The 16,164-nt window shown below is 53.1% G+C and overlaps 1 protein-coding gene across 55 annotated transcripts in view, besides 2 other annotated features; it reads right to left on the bottom strand.

The window, feature by feature from the left end:
* TACC2 (transforming acidic coiled-coil containing protein 2) overlaps nt 1–16,164 on the bottom strand; it is a 265,380-nt gene that overhangs the window by 40,142 nt on the left and 209,074 nt on the right. For 33 of the 55 annotated variants that reach the window (NM_001291877.2, NM_206862.4, NM_001438366.1 and 30 more), the window contains one exon: nt 2,693–4,004. In NM_001291877.2, coding sequence (NP_001278806.2) covers nt 2,693–4,004 — 1,312 coding nt within the window. Of the gene's footprint in view, nt 1–1,023; nt 1,060–2,692; nt 4,005–4,431; nt 4,528–16,164 lie in introns of all 55 variants that reach the window. The other 22 variants (XM_024447756.1, XM_005269390.1, XM_017015485.1 and 19 more) reach the window with 2 other exon arrangements.
* Nucleotides 12,522–13,466: an enhancer, noted in NCBI's record as "H3K4me1 hESC enhancer chr10:123960450-123961394 (GRCh37/hg19 assembly coordinates)". NCBI's record gives its function as "activates a minimal SCP1, AML or CMV promoter by ChIP-STARR-seq in primed H9 embryonic stem cells {active_cell/tissue: H9 hESC(primed)}" and the evidence as "EXISTENCE:reporter gene assay evidence [ECO:0000049][PMID:30033119]".
* Nucleotides 13,467–14,412: an enhancer, noted in NCBI's record as "H3K4me1 hESC enhancer chr10:123959504-123960449 (GRCh37/hg19 assembly coordinates)". NCBI's record gives its function as "activates a minimal SCP1, AML or CMV promoter by ChIP-STARR-seq in naive and primed H9 embryonic stem cells {active_cell/tissue: H9 hESC(naive and primed)}" and the evidence as "EXISTENCE:reporter gene assay evidence [ECO:0000049][PMID:30033119]".

Genomic DNA, 16,164 nt, shown 5'->3' with positions numbered 1-16,164 from the left:
CCTTGTGTTCTCTCAAATCACTCCAACAATGGCATTTAATCATGAAAAAAAAATAAATGGCTATTTACAGCATTTATAATATTTGCCATTAAAACAGTGCAATCGCAGCTTGAAGCATATATTTATTCATGCATATAAATATATAACCATATATTTTATAGTTGCTAAGTGGCTCAAAAATACTCAAGAAATCCCTTGGGCAGAAGAGAGTCTGATGGACTCGACCCTATCCTGGGACTGCTGGCCACCTGGACTGGCCGGCTTCCCTTCTAAGGACAGGGAAAAGTTGCATGTCTTTGGACCCCCCCGAGCTGCCCACAGATCCCTCCTGGCCATGGGAGGCAAAGCAGCAGAGGCACAGAAATGGTCAGCTCTGTTTCTACTGACAAGTGGCAGGGTGACCCACAGATGGCAGACAAGGCATGCCGACACCCAGCCAGGTCCTGGGTGACTGAGGATGCAGGACTGGGGCAGCCTGGCGATGGCTCTCACAGCTGTGTGCTCCACTCTGCACTGACCCTGCATTTCAGGGCACTCTGTGGGCCTCAATTTGGAACGGCCCAAATATTTCTGCTTTACATGTTAGCAAGAATAAGCTGTGGCCGTCGCTGCCTGTGGTTAGACCAGACAGTTATTTTAACGTGAAGCCACAGTAGTGTTGAAAGCAATCGCCCACTAGCCCAGTTTAAAATGAAAAAATGTAATGAAGAGTTTAAAAAAAATGTTTGATTTCAGATGAAGACATCCAATATGCAAGGGAAGGAAAAAAGTTCCATTCCTGATAAGCAGGCAGATGCTGGATAATCACATTTTCACAGCCAAGCAGTCTCTTATGCAAATCACTATGAAACAGAAAAGTAATCTTTGCTACTGGGGAGCCCCATGCCCCATCATTCGCAGGCCCACCACAGAAACACATCAGTAGCAGCCAGAGGGGAAATAAAAATGGCTTGGAAGCAGAAACAAAAGGCAGAAAAATAAGCACATTTGGCATAAGAGGCAGATTGCATTAAATTTACTTACAACAGAGAACACACAGACATCACATCTTCAACCATCCTAAGACAAGAAGACAAAGAAAAAGAGAGACAGACAGAAGGAACTGACAAAAAAGATAAATCTGCAGACAACTGGTTATTAATGGGTTAGGATATGGCGGCCACCGCTGTAGGGCAATGCCCCAGCTTTTTGGAAGGAGCTGCTGGGGAACAGCTTCCTCTCTTGATCCTAATGATCCCACAAAGCCGTGGTGCCCCAAGAGCTTTGTCAGACCCACGCAGGGTCTTCCACGCCAAAGTCCCTGTCTGCACTAGAGGTGAGGACACAGTTGGGTAAACTTCCCTGACCCCTGTTAGCTCTAATATTCAAACAAGAAAGTGACTGGGGACGCCTATGAGACACAGAACATATCTTGGAGAAGGAAGAGGTGGCGGCTAAGGTTGGCTCTCATTCCAGATGAGAGAGCACGGCCTTGCAGTCTAGCCATTGCAGACTTCTCCTATTCCAGGCTTGAAATCAAGTTTCCAACGTGAATTCTAGAGAGTCTCTAGTAGGGACCTAGTTGAGTAACTGATCTAAAACAAAGTCCCCATTTTGGCCAGGATGGCCTCCAGCCACCACTAGACAGTGGCAGGTTGATCTAAGGTAACCTGCTGTAGAGACCTCCTCTCAGGAGGCCCTGGGTTCTTCTCAGAAATTCAATGTTAGGGGGAGCCCAGAATGGGAGGTAAACATGTCGTTCTGTCTCTTTCGTGCCAGGCAGACCCAGAGGGGCCAGCGCTGTGGTCTGTTCTGCTGCCCCTGGGAGACTGATCTCCTCAGCCTTGTTAAATTACTGACAATACTTCCCGTAAGAGTAAGGAAATCGCCAAGATATTAACCACAGGGGCCAAAGAATAAAGGACCAGCAGCCATCCACATTAGAGCCGGGTCCTGGGGTGGATTCTGGAGGCATGGGTGTTTGATATTTAAGCACGATGTACTTGGCCTTGTCAAGTGTCTGGGGACCATAGAGCCAAGGACCAATGGCTTCCTGGGGATTGTGGGGATTTGCTCCCCACTTTCAGGTTCCATTTATCTCTTCAGAACTTGCAGGGACTTTGTCTACAAAAGATGACTGGAGAGAAGGAAGGAGACAAAGAAGGGTGTTTCTTACGGGCTGGTTGGAGTGCAGCAGGGAGGGGCCCAGGCCACATCTCTCATTCCTGAGCCTCCTGGAATCTACTATGTTTGTAGGTTGGGCTAATGTCTCATTAATAGGCAGAAACAAGTACTATACATTTTAATATTTTAAAGGGTGTATCTCCCAGCTTCTCCAAAAAGCAATCAGTCACCAACAGGGAGATGAACCAGATCTCTAAGGACCTTTCCCCTTCCATGGGATCTCCCAGATTGCTCTGGAGTTGAACATTAGGTCTTTGGCTACAAGTAAAGCTCCAGCCCATTGATTTATTAAAGCAAAAGATCAAGGACACAAAGGGGTATGTGGATGGGAAAATGCCACCACTGTGACCGCAGAGAGGAAGGAAAACACGTACATTGTCTGCTTGGTGCAACGGCCGTAAGCGTGGCATCATCACAGCACCCAGGGGCAAGGTTAGGGCAGTCGAAGGTTATCCAGGCACATGACCAAGGGTCACAGCCAATGCGCACCCCCGCCTCTGATCCTTACCACCTCCACCCCTGAACTTACGTCTTTAGGGGCGTCTTCTTCTTCTTGGCGGGCTTGTTTAGCCCATCCCCGTCCACTCCATTGGCTTCCATAGCACTGGCTGGGATCTCAAAGGAGGCTGGGGATTTAGAAGGTGAGCTGGGGGTCTTAGAGGATGTCTTAAAGGGGTCAACGGACTCATCACAGGTGTCTGGGTCAAAGTTGTATGATTGTTGGGGCAGTTTGGGAGACTCCTGCATTTTTGAGGTGGAAGAAAAAGGGTTAAAATTGGGGTCATCCCACTTGTCAATATCAAAGGTGTAAGTACCTTTAGCAATGGGGATGTCATTGGGTTCAGCAGGGGATCTGGGAGGTGAGGCAGGAGTGTTGTCAAGTTTCTCGGGTGTCTTTTTCATCTTTGGCCTCCTCAGGGGCATTTTGGCAACTGGCTTTTTGCCTATCTTTTTGGTAGGAGGGGGGTTTTCCTGCTGGTTGTCCCAACTACTCTTGTCCTCAGAATAGTCAAACTCCAGCCTTACGGAGAGCCCTTTGGCTGGAGAGTCCTCTTGCCCCCCGCTATCCGATGGGGTTACCTCCCCTGCCTCCGGGGCCGTGGTAAGAGGCAGCGTTTTCCTCCCGACAGGGGGTGAGTTCTGCACTCTGCCACCTCCAGAAGCCGGGGGGACAACCCCTTCTGCACTCTCTGAGTCCAGAGGGCAGGCAGCTTTGGGCCCCACAGCGGGCTCAAGGGGCGTCTCCTCCAATAAGGCTGGGCTAGGACCTTCCGTCTTGGCAGATTCCGTTTTCGTCTCAGATGCTAGATTCTCCCCACTGGGGACAAGGCTCTCTTCATCTGGCTCCTGTTGCGTCTCCTTCACTGGGGGGGTCTCTGTGGGTTTCTTGGTGGTCTGTTTCTTTTTTAAGGAAGGCGGCCTCGGTTTTTTAGTTCGCTTAAGGGTACTAGAAGCACTGCTGGAACCCGTGCTATATGCATCTGGGGCAAGGGCCACGGCCTCGGGATTGCCTGAGGAAGAAGCACCATCAAAGTCACTGGCTTGCAGGCTGAGCGACCGGGACAGTGTAGACTTAGAGATGGGGACGGAATCCGTGGACTTCCTCCGTGTGTTCACTTTGCCCTCCTGATTCTTAGCGTCTGAGGCACGAGGCTCCAAGGTCTGAAAGGTATCCACAAGCTCAATGTTGTCAAAGTCCAAGTTGTAAGTCCCACTGCTGGCTATCGGCTTGTCTTCATCGAAGACGGCAGAGAAGGAGTGTGACGGGGGACGGAAGGGACTTCCTTCCACCGAGTCGCTCCGTGGGCCATCAGGGACAGGGACTGTCTCAGAACCACATCCTGGGGAAACACAGACAACGCCATCAATTACAGACACAGGACGCATTGGGGCACCTCTCCTCTTGTACCAAAACATCACCCTCCAGCGTAGGGGTTGACAAACCACGGCCCCAGGCCACCCCGCCCATCACTGTGTGTACTACTTGGGTACAGAACCTGACCTACCCGTAATTAGCTCAAGACCCAGGCCAGGTTCGCCCAGAGTTCCCTCATCTGTACAATGAGGATCATGAGGACCGATTAAAGAACAGCTCAGAGTATTCATTCAAAAACATTCACCAAGTGCCTAATCAGGACCAGACATGGTTCTAGGTACTAGAGATTCAACAAGGAACAGAAATAGACAAAACCTTTCCCTTCCTGGAAGTCACATTCTTCAGGGGAAGATAGCGAATAAACCACCAGGGCCGGGCATGGTGTCTCACACCTGTAATCCCAGCACTTTGGGAGGCCGAGGCAGGCAGATCACTTGAGGTCAGGAGTTTGAGACCAGCCTGGTCATCATGGTGAAACCCAGTCTCTACTAAAAAAACACAAAAATTAGCCAGGCATGGTGGTGAGCGCCTGTAATCCCAGCTATTCCGGAGCCTGAGGCAGGAGAATCGCTTGAGCCTGGGAGCCAGAGGTTGCAGAGAGCCGAGATTGCGCCACTGTACTCTAGCCTGGGTGACAGAGTGAGTGAGACTCTGTCTCAAAAACAAACAAACAATGTACAGAATTTCAGAGGGTGATACATGCTAAGGAGAAAAATAAAGCCGGGATAGGAGAGTTTCACTTTTAAAATAAGGTAGTCAGGCAAGATCTTCTGAGGAGACATCTAAGCAAAGGCCAGAATCAAGGTAAGTGCATGAAACAGGAGGACTCCTGGGGAGGAAGCATCCTGGGTAGAAGGAATAGTGCGAGTAAAGGCTCTGCGGCAGGAGCACCTGGTGCGTTACAGAAACAGCGAGGAGGCCAGTGTGGCTAAAGCAAGGGTCAAGAGTGGGACAGGAAGACAGAGAAATCCTGCAGGAAGGCATACGGAGGCTTCCATAAATATTCATACTAGCCACGGCCACCAGCAAGCCTGTTCTTGACTCCTCAGAGCCACTGTGAAGATCAGGGGAGCCTGTACACGGAGGCCCCCGGCACCTGTAGTAGCACTTGCTGTCTGCCACCTGCCGCTCCAGCCATCACCTGTAACCTCTCCTTCAGTCCTGCCTGCCTATCCTTGGCCCTGCCTCTTGCCTAGTCTCACTGCTCTCCCAGCTGCCTCCTCTCAGCTTTTCTACCTCATCAGCCCCTGCCAGTCAAGGAGGTTGCTCCTATTTCCCAAACATGCTGCAGATGCTGCAAATGTTGGCCAAATGATGCTCAAAGGTGCCACCACCCTACTGCCCATGGGGATCCGGCCAGCCCCAGCTTTGGCTTGGCTACTCTAGGTTCTGCTGGCACCCAGCGGCATCTTTCATGCATTTCTGAGGTCACAGCTGCTCCAGGCAGTCAAGGATGCCAGAAAACTAAAAGTGTGTCATTGGACAAGAGGGCAAACACGATAAAGCGGTCTGCAGGCCTAAGTACTGGGAGATGCAGAATGAGGAGTAAACGGAGCTGGCACAGGTAAGACCTGGGACAGCGTTTCCAATGTGTGCCTCGTGACAGGTGTTATGTACCCCCAGTCCCCTTCTGCCACCGGCATGGTTGCCAGACAAAGGACAGGATGTTCAGCTGATTTGAATTTCAGATAAATGAACATGTTTTTTAATATAAGTATGTCCCATGTCTCGATGATTCTTTGTTTATCTAAGATTCAGATTTAATGGGCACCCTGTATTTTCATTTGCTAAATCAGGGAGCCCTATCTCTCATCCCAACAAACAAACAAGGTTTGGGAAATGCACAATTAACCCCTGAACTGGTCTCTTCCTGTCGATTTTCTCAGAGCAATTCATGCTCCCGACTGCAAATCTCTGGGCAGTGAGTATTCTGCAGAGTGCTTACCAAGCTTTGCTCATAGCAACCTTTCTCCTGGAGTACCTGGCAGAGAACTCAGCTCACAACACAAGAAAACTTCAAGGTTCTTGAGTTCAGGAACTGGCCTTGGCTTTGTTTCCCCCTTGACTGGTCACACTTTCTTACAGGATCAATAAACGCTTGGATTGAAAGCATCATTTGGAAGCACATCTATGAGCTAGTCCTGGTTTCAAGCCTCTCACTCTCCTCTTCTCCACCCAGGGCCTACCTGGAGCAGACGCCCTAAATACGGAGCTCTTTCTACCAAACGGTTTCTCCAAACACTCCTTCCTTCTCATTTCAAAAGGTGTTGCCTCGCTTCTTTCTAAAATCAACTCCCTGTTTCCTCTAGGCCCTAGTACTCTCAAGTACCCCATCCTCCCACCAGCCGTGACCTCCTCTTCCTGCTCTGTAATTGCCCCTGGATACACGGAGGGAACAGAGGACCAGGGGATGCTGAGGGGGACCAGGTGCTTTCAAATGGGCCTTGGCAGGAGGAAGCACGAGCCTCAGCCTATCCCGTCGTCAAGGCCCACAAACACCAACCCTCTCCCTCTCAGGCCGTTACACGTGCCTCTGCAGCCTGCAGAAGGAAGCCTTCGGAGGCCCTTCAAATGTCAGCAGTTATCACGCAACAATGAGCTTAACCATCTGCTCATTGCTTCCTCCAGAAGAAAGAGCTCCCTGCCTGCTTAGCATGGCTTTCCTCTTTAGAACTGACATGCTCTCATTAGCTCATCATGAACCAGGAAACCTAATCTTGCTGCAGGGTTTCTTATCCTTGGCATTATGGTCATTTGGGGGCAGTCAGATTTTTATGCTGGGGGCTGTCCTGTGCCCTGTAGGATGCTTACCAGCATCCCTGGCCTCCACACAATGGATGCCAGTAGGCCCCACCCTTACCCCAGCTGTGACAACCAACACTGTGTCTAGACATTGCCATGTACCCTTGTGGGGGCAAAATCCTCCCTGGTTGGGAACGGCTGTCTTATTGTGTTGGTTACCAGAGCAGGCTGCTCCACGGGGCCCCTCACAGGGCTAGAAGGGCTCCTGTGGTCCAACTGGGTTCGAAGTCCTCCCTGCTCGCCTACTGCATTTTTTTTTTTTTGAAATAGTCCCATTCCATCACCCAGGCTGGAGTGCAGTGGTGCGATCTCAGCTCACTACAACCTCCACCTCTCAGGTTGAAGTGATTCTCTTGTCTGAGCCTCCCGAGTAGCTGGGATTACAGGTGTGTGCCACCACGCCTGGCTAATTTTTCTATTTTTAGTAGAGATGGGGTTTCATTATGTTGGCCAGGTTGGTCTTGAACTCCTGACCTCAAGTGATCCGTCTGCCTCAGCCTCCCAAAGTGTTGAGATTACAGGTGTGAGCCACCACACCCAGCCTCCCTGCTCCCCTACTGGATTTCTAAACATCCACACGGCATATCTGCATGAAGACCAATGCAGACACAATCAACTGTGTGATTCATTTGTTCATTCCACAAATAACCTGGGGTGCCTCCCATACATCAGCCACTGGGGGGTGTGCCGAGGACATAGAGGTAAGGAAGGATAGGAACCCAGATGAATACATACACAACACTTCCTCCACCTCATGTCTCCACTGACACAGATCTGGGCAATGCCCCAGAGAACAGTGCCTTGCACACAGGCTCCAGGTTTCTGGCTCAGTCTGATGACAAAGTCAGCACCCGCAGTTCATCAGATGAAAAGGGTCACTAGGGTATCCCAGTTACATGAGCTTGCTGGGCTGCCATCACCAAGGACCACAGACTGGGCGGTTTAAACCACAGAAATTTATTTCTCACAGTGCTGGAGGCTGCAAGTCCAAGGTCAAGGCATCAGTGGGTTTGTCTCTCCTGAGGCCGCTCTCCTTGGTTTGCAGATGGCCTTTTCTCTGCACACTCCTGGTCTCTTCCTCTTCGTATAGGAACACTGGTCCCCATGGGCTTAGGGCCCCACCCGTATGAACCCATTCAACCTTAACTGTCTCCTTAAAGGTCCTCCCTACAAATAATCACATTGGGGGTTGGGGCTTCAGCATACAAACATTGGAGGCCACAATTCAGGCCATAGCACCAGTGCTGCCCAGTAAAATGCCCAAGTTGAGGGAAAGCGAATGTGTTAGAGATGACAGGGGGCTCCCAGGAAAGAGACAAAGCCAGGACAGGGCAGCAGACATCACCCAGCTGATGTCACCCTACCTTCTCCAAAGGCCACACCCTTAGCCTTGCTGGACTGTTTCTCACAGAAGCACTTGCTGCCAGCCCCCGCACTGGCGCCTCTCCATCCTCCCCTCTTTCCCCCCGCCCCCCAGTGAGTTCACTGTGCACAGGAATCCTTGGCGCCCAGAGGGCCAGAGGTGTGCCCAGGCATTCACAGACTCTTCTCTTAAGCTGCCGCATCACGGGTAGATGGTCTCCTACACAGAGAGCATGGCTTTGTATCTTCTAAGTACACAAATAGTAATCTTCAGTTAGTAATATTTATTCTGGGAAAAGGTGTCCATTTTAAGTAGGCTAACGAGATACAAAGCAGTACTTGGTCTTTCTGTGGCAGTTTGCTGGTTGCTGTGGGTAGCTCAGAGCAAGTCCGTGATGAATTCAACATTTCCCAAATTTGTCTAGCCTAAGACACACCTGAGACACTCATTAAAACCCCAGACTCCGCCTCCATCCGCCCCTTCCTCTGCAGAGCAGCACTTCCTTCTGCAGGGCTGGGGTGGGGGCTCAGGGCCCCCATCGTAACAGGTGCCACAGGTGCGCCTCCTCATCGGGAAGTCTGGAACTGGGCTATCTCACCTCATCTGCTTCTATCTGGGCCTATCCTCATTCTTAAACCTCCAGTGGGTAACACTTTAGTATTTGGCCACAAAAATGAGTCAGCTTTGAGGATAAGCTTGGATGGGCCTTTGAGCTCCAAGTTCCTGTGGGGTTTTTACCCCAGAGGCGTGAGGCATCAGTGCTGCAGAAGTACCAGGCAGAGGCTGTCCTTTGGTGCCCACCCTCCTCTGATGTGGTCCAAAACAGACAGCTCAAGAAACCAAACCCAAAACCGACCAGCAAGAGAGCAGGAGGCCCGTGCCATGGCTGCCTTCTGTCCTCAGACCAGTGGGTGTTCAGGATCTCACAGAGACCCCAGGAACCCCCACCGGGTGGGGCTGTGCTCCTCTGCTTCCTGAGGTCTATCTTGCTCTCGTATGTCTGCTCTCAAACTTCTGTTCAATTCCCAGAAACCAAGAGGGAAAAGTGCCGTCGAGGCACTGTGGGGACAGTTACTGACCGTGCTAACTCACTTAGTGATGAAGAAATTAAAGTGTCTTTACATAAACCAAATTGTTCCCAGCAGAGTCCGCCTCGTGAGCATCTAAGTGACAGAGCCATAGTGAGGATGGGGAGCACCTAAGGGGAGGCTTTGCTAGGTAGGGTAAGAAGTAAGAAGGCACCCAGGAGCACTGTTGGAGTGACAGCCCCACTGTGCTGTGCGGGCGGTTCAGACAGCTGGGACTTCAGCAGCCCTGGGCTGATCCTGGCTCCACCTAGAGCATGCCACACGTCATTTTTTTTTTTTTTGAAGAGCCAGGGTCTCACTCTGTCACCCAGGCTGCAGTGCAGTGGCGTTATCATAGCTCATTGCAACCTTGAACTCCAAGTGATCCTCTGGCTTCACCCTCCTAAGTGGCTAGCCAAACTCGTGACACCACACCTGGCTAGTTTTTAAATTTTTTGTAGAGATGCAGTCTTGCTATGCTGCCCAGGCTGGTCTCAAACTCCTGGGCTCCAGCGATCCTCCCACCTCAGCCTCCCAAAGTGCTGAGATGACAGGCATGGGCCACCGTACCCGGCCCACATGTCCCTCTCTGTCCTGCTTTGCTGACTGTCACTTCTCTGGTGTCAGCCAGAGATGAGCAGCTTTCCTTGCCACATCCCCACCTGTTGTCCTGCTGGGGTGCTTCCCTGGTGGGCTGCCGACCAAGGGGCCACAGTCCCCCAGGCAGAGCCCCAGCATCAGCACAAGGGCTCAGCCGGTTACTGACTTAACTGCTCATTTGAAGGCAGAGGGAGAGGGCAATGGGGGAAATAACACCGGCTGTGACCTGGGGCCACTCCTCATCCTTTATAAGCAGGCATGAAATGAGACGCTCTGGAAAAGTGCTTTCTTTAAAAGCTAAAGAAGGCAGTTAGAAAAATCTACCCCTCCCCCTCCCCCTCCCCCTCTCCCTCTCCCCACGGTCTCCCTCTCCCTCTCTTTCCAAGGTCTCCCTCTGATGCCGAGCCGAAGCTGGACTGTACTGCTGCCACCTCGGCTCACTGCAACCTCCCTGCCTGATTCTCCTGCCTCAGCCTGCCGAGTGCCTGGGATTGCAGGCGCGCGCCGCCACACCTGACTGGTTTTCGTATTTTTTTGGTGGAGACAGGGTTTCGCTGTGTTGGCCGGGCTGGTCTCCAGCCCCTAACCGCGAGTGATCCGCCAGCCTCGGCCTCCCGAGGTGCCGGGATTGCAGACGGAGTCTCGTTCACTCAGTGCTCAATGGTGCCAAGGCTGGAGTGCAGTGGCGTGATCTCGGCTCGCTACAACCTCCACCTCCCAGCAGCCTGCCTTGGCCTCCCAAAGTGCAGAGATTGCAGCCTCTGCCCGGCCGCCACCCCGTCTGGGAAGTGAGGAGCGTCTCTGCCTGGCCGCCCATCGACTGGGATGTGAGGAGCCCCTCTGCCTGGCTGCCCAGTCTGGAAAGTGAGGAGCGTCTCTTCCCGGCCGCCATCCCATCTGGGAAGTGAGGAGCGTCTCTGCCCGGCCGCCCATCTTCTGAGATGTGGGGAGCACCTCTGCCCTGCCGCCCCATCCGGGATGTGAGGAGCGTCTCTGCCCGGCCGCCCCGTCTGAGAAGTGAGGAGCCCCTCCGCCCGGCAGCCGCCCCGTCTGGGAAGTGAGGAGCGTCTCCACCCGGCAGCCACCTCGTCCGGGAGGGAGGTGGGGGGGTCAGCCGCCCGCCCAGCCAGCCGCCCCGTCCGGGAGGGAGGTGGGGGGGTCAGCCCCCTGCCCGGCCAGCCGCCCCATCCGGGAAGTGAGGGGCGCCTCTGCCCGGCCGCCCCTACTGGGAAGTGAGGAGCCCCTCTGCCCGGCCAGCCGCCCCGTCCGGGAGGTGAGGGGTGCCTCTGCCCGGCCGCCCCTACTGGGAAATGAGGAGCCCCTCTGCCCGGCCACCACCCCGTCTGGGAGGTGTACCCAGCAGCTCGTTGAGAACGGGCCATGATGACAATGGCGGTTTTGTAGAATAGAAAGAGGGGAAAGGTGGGGAAAAGATTGAGAAATCGGATGGTTGCCATGTCTGTGTAGAAAGAGGTAGACATGGGAGACTTTTCATTTTGTTCTGTACTAAGAAAAATTCTTCTGCCTTGGGATCCTGTTGATCTGTGACCTTACCCCCAACCCTGTGCTCTCTGAAACATGTGCTGTATCCACTCAGGGTTGAATGGATTAAGGGCGGTGCAAGATGTGCTTTGTTAAACAGATGCTTGAAGGCAGCATGCTCCTTAAGAGTCATCACCACTCCCTAATCTCAAGTACCCAGGGACACAAACACTGCGGAAGGCCGCAGGGTCCTCTGCCTAGGAAAACCGGAGACCTTTGTTCACTTGTTTATCTGCTGACCTTCCCTCCACTATTGTCCTGTGACCCTGCCAAATCCCCCTCTCCGAGAAACACCCAAGAATGATCAATTAAAAAAAAAAAAAGAAAGAAAGAAAAATCTACTTCTGGAGAAACAAATTACCTTCCCATCTCTTTTGTCAGGAAACTCTTGGATGATGTACTGACCAAAACAGGGAATAACCTAACAGAGAGGAAGACAGGGATTTTAGGAAACCGGAGATCACACAGGAAGGAGGTAAAGGGAAATCCCAGGATGATGGCAAAGGGAAGTCCCCAAACAACAGCTGTGCAACAAGAATAAAGAACAATCAGAGGACCTCTTGAGCCCAGAGGTCAAGGCTGCGGTGAGCCAAGGTCGTGCCACTACACTGAAGCCTGGGCAACAGAGTGAGACCCTGTCTCAAAACAGAAAAGGACCTATCAGCCCCAAGTGGAGCAGAACAGAGGGATTTGGGAGGAATGTCCTCAGAAAAAGATATTAAAACACAGTTATCTGATGAGTTTGAAGATGTAAAAAGTTCTACTGAAAGCCATTGTACATAGCGATAGGAAGACATGCCATAGATTAAAAAAATAATAACCTAAGCAAATCAAAATTAGGTAACAAAAGTCCAGGAAAAACAAAAGCTTATAGATGGGAAATGTAGACAGTATACATCACTTAACTTAGAAATGAGCCATCATCGAAAATAATAAAAACACTGATTATGAATTAAAAAAAAAAAAAAAAAAAAGCTAAAGAAGACAGCATGAAGACAGACCACTAACATAATGTCAGATTCAAAAGAGGTCAGTTTCAAAGAGCGCAGAGTCATAAAAAGCAGCGGAAACCTTGGCTTTGCCACTAATCGGCTTGGTGACCTTGGCCAAAGCTCCTTAACCTTGCTGTGCCTCGCTGTCACTGTCTCTAGTACCACCCCCCACAATGTTACTATTTTTCTATTATTATTATCAAATGTCATCTGTAACAGGACAACACCTGCGGTGCTTGGTTATACCCCTGTCTTCCCGGGAGGATAATGGGCTGAGCCACCAGCCTGGGGTCTGTGAGAGCCCCGAGCATCCCAGGATCCATCCATGGCCCACTGTGCCTGTGTGGATGTGGAGAGCAGTCAAGCCCCTCCAGCGAGGTCATTACGGGAAGTGAATGTGCGTCCAGAGGGTTGGGGCCCTGCCAGGTTGGTGGTGTCTCCATCCAAGGTGCACAGGACACATGAGGTCACCGTCCTCCCCATATGAACACAGCCACTGTGGGCAGGTGACGTCGCCATCCTTTCAGTGTAGATGTGGCCACCCTGGGGAGATGAGGTCACTGTCTTCTCAGTGTAGATGTGGCCACTGTGGGCAGGTGAGGTGGCCGTCCTCCCCATGTGAATGCAGCCACTGTGGGCAGGTGAGGTGGCTGTCTTCCCCATGTGAACGCAGCCACTGTGGGCAGGTGAGGTGGCCGTTTTCCCCATGTGAACGCAGCCACTGTGGGCAGGTGAGGTGGCCGTCCTCTCACTGTAGATGTGGCCACTGTGGGCGGGTGAGGTGGCCATCCTCTCACTGTAGATGTGGCCACTGTGGGCAGGTGAGGTGGCCGTCCTCTGACTGTAGATGTGGCCACTGTGGGCAGGTGAGGTGGCCGTCCTCTCACTGTAGATGTGGCCACTGTGGGCAGGTGAGGTGGCCGTCCTCTCACTGTAGATGTGGCCACTGTGGGCGGGTGAGGTGGCCGTCCTCTCACTGTAGATGTGGCCACTCTGGGCGGGTGAGGTGGCCGTCCTCTCACTGTAGATGTGGCCACTGTGGGCGGGTGAGGTCGCTGTCCTCCCCGTGTGAACACAGCCACTGTGCGCAGGTGAGGTGGTCGTCCTCTCAGTGTAGATGTGGCCACTGTGGGCAGGTGAGGTCGCCATCCTCTCAGTGTAGATGTGGCCACTGTGGGCAGGTGAGGTCGCCGTCCTCCCCATGTGAACATGGCCACTGTGGGCAGGTGAGGTGGCCGTCCTCCCCATGTGAACACGGCCACTGTGGGCAGGTGAGGTCGCCGTCCTCCCCATGTGAACATGGCCACTGTGGGCAGGTGAGGTGGCCATCCTCTCACTGTAAATGTGGCCACTGTGGGCAGGTGAGGTGGCCGTCCTCTCACTGTAGATGTGGCCACTGTGGGCAGGTGAGGTGGCCGTCCTCCCCATGTGAACGCAGCCACTGTGGGCAGGTGAGGTAACTGTCCTCCCCATGTGAACACAGCCACTGTGGGCAGGTGAGGTGCCCGTCCTCTCACTGTAGATGTGGCCACTGTGGGCAGGTGAGGTAACTGTCCTCCCCATGTGAACACAGCCACTGTGGGCAGGTGAGGTGCCCGTCCTCTCACTGTAGATGTGGCCACTGTGGGCAGGTGAGGTCGCCATCCTCTCATGTCTCCTCACCTGGCTCTATGCAGGCCCCAAACTCTCCATCGTCCTTCCAGCCTGGGATGAACGGGGCTTGGATCTGGTGGCTGTGAACCCATATACCCCTGGCTCGATGGCCAGGGCCCCCAGGTGCAGTGCCAGCCTCTGCCTGGACTGCATCAGAATCTCCAGTGGTCTCACCTGTTCCCTGGTCCTGGGCCCATGAAACACTCACATTGTGAAGAGGGAGCAGCCGGCCCAAGAGGGCCCGAGTGCCTGTGGCAGCCAGATCCAGGCCTGAAAAGGCTCGGCCCTCAGCTTGCTGTGTGCTCTGGTCCGAATGTGTGTGTCCCCGAAATTCCTATGTTGAAATCCTCATATAAGGTGATGGTATCAGGAGGTGGGGCCTTTGGGAGGTGATGAGCTCATGGGGGCAGTGTCCTCATGAGTGGATTAGTGCCCTTACGAAAGAGGACTGAGGAAGACTGTGTGTCCTTTCACCATGTCAGGACACAGGGAGGAGGTGCTGTCTATGAACAGAAAGCAGGTCCTCACTAGACACCAAATCTGCCAGTGCCCTGAGCTTGGACTTCCCAGCCTCCAGAACTGTAAGCAATACATTTCTGTTGCTAACAGGTACCTGGTCTATGGTTACGTTGATAGCCGTGTGATCAGACCTAAGACAGTGTGCTGTCATCAGCTGTCATAGGGAATTCTTGTGTGGGTGAAGAGGGAGAGTCTGTAAGCACCTGGCCCAGGTCATAGCAGGTGTCAGGAAAAGGCAACCACAGCCCCCTGCTCTTCACACGCCATGGTGACACCCACCCCTGTGCCCCTGCCCCAGGCTGGGAAGGGCCTCAGCTGGATTCTGGGATGCCCCACCCCATGCCAGGAAGTCTCCCGTGGCTACAGGGAGCACCCACGTATGGCCTCTTTGGAGACAAAAGCAGGTGACAGTGTATACGAAAACCAGAGGCGGGCCCAAAGAAAAGGGAAGCCACTGTGTGCTCTGCAGCCAGGCTGGGCACTGAGCTCCATTCCAAGTCAATGTGAGGACAGCTGTCCACAAACAGCCACTTAGAGCACAACGAGTGCCTGGCGAGGACACTGGTGCTTGGATCTGGTGGCTGTGAATCTGTATACCCTTGGCTCAATGGCTCGGGCCCCCAGGTGCAGTGCCACAATCAGTGCCTGGGGACCATGTCCTGGGAGACAGAGGAAAGGTATAGGCACGCAGGGCACAGGGAGGCCCCCATTACCTCCAAGGCCCCAACACGGGCCTTTCCCTGGGCTTGGCAATCTCCTAGCAAGAATGAGTAAAGAAGCTGCATTCCCCAATGCTGAACAATGTCCCTGAAGGGCAGGTGGGCAACTGTCAGAATGGACCTGCCTCAGCTCTCCTGCCATGTCGCCCCCACTGATCACCCACTGACTCGCAATCCTTTGCCCCATCCTTTGCCTCGGGGGCGTGGCCTAGGCTGCAGCTCTCAGGACAGGCTGGCAGGACTGCCCCAGCACACATCTAAGCAACAGCAGGTCCAGCAACAACTTTCACTCAACACCTACTAAGGGCCTGCCCCAGGCTAGGCGCACAAAGGCACCAGCTCACTGTACCTGCGCAGAGAGCAGTCTGGTTCCAAATGGAAGGGAGCCGGGCTTGGAAGTGGGGAGGCCTGGGTTCTGACACCAGAGTCCCCTTATCGCTGTGAGATGGCGTATGAGGTTCGTAACCTCCGCGTGTCACTGGGGAATCAGGGGAAGACATCCACTATACAGGGATGCTGTGTGCATACGGCTGATCCTCCCTCACCTGAGTGGGAGATGAAACACTCAGAGGACCTAGCATAGCCCTGACAAGGCAAATGCTTGAATGGGAGCTATTATTTAATTACATGACATGTAATTATGACCCTTGGTGGCCGGTTTTGAGTTCTAATAACACGGTCACTGTACATCAGCCAACCATTCCCTTCACAGGACCTCGGGAGGCCGGAGCTGGAAGGATCTGAAGGGACCCACAGATCACCCTCTTCATTTCACAGATAAGGGAACTGCGTTCAGATGAGCTGAGTCCTGGCCCGCCCCAGCTGGCAGCAGGTGCAATCCTTTGCCCCATCTTCTGCCTCAGGAGTG

Source organism: Homo sapiens, chromosome 10 (assembly GCF_000001405.40).
Source record: "Homo sapiens chromosome 10, GRCh38.p14 Primary Assembly".
Lineage (NCBI taxonomy): Eukaryota > Metazoa > Chordata > Mammalia > Primates > Hominidae > Homo > Homo sapiens.
The sequence above is the reverse complement of the archived record's forward strand: the minus strand, read 5'-3'. Positions and strand labels throughout refer to the sequence as shown.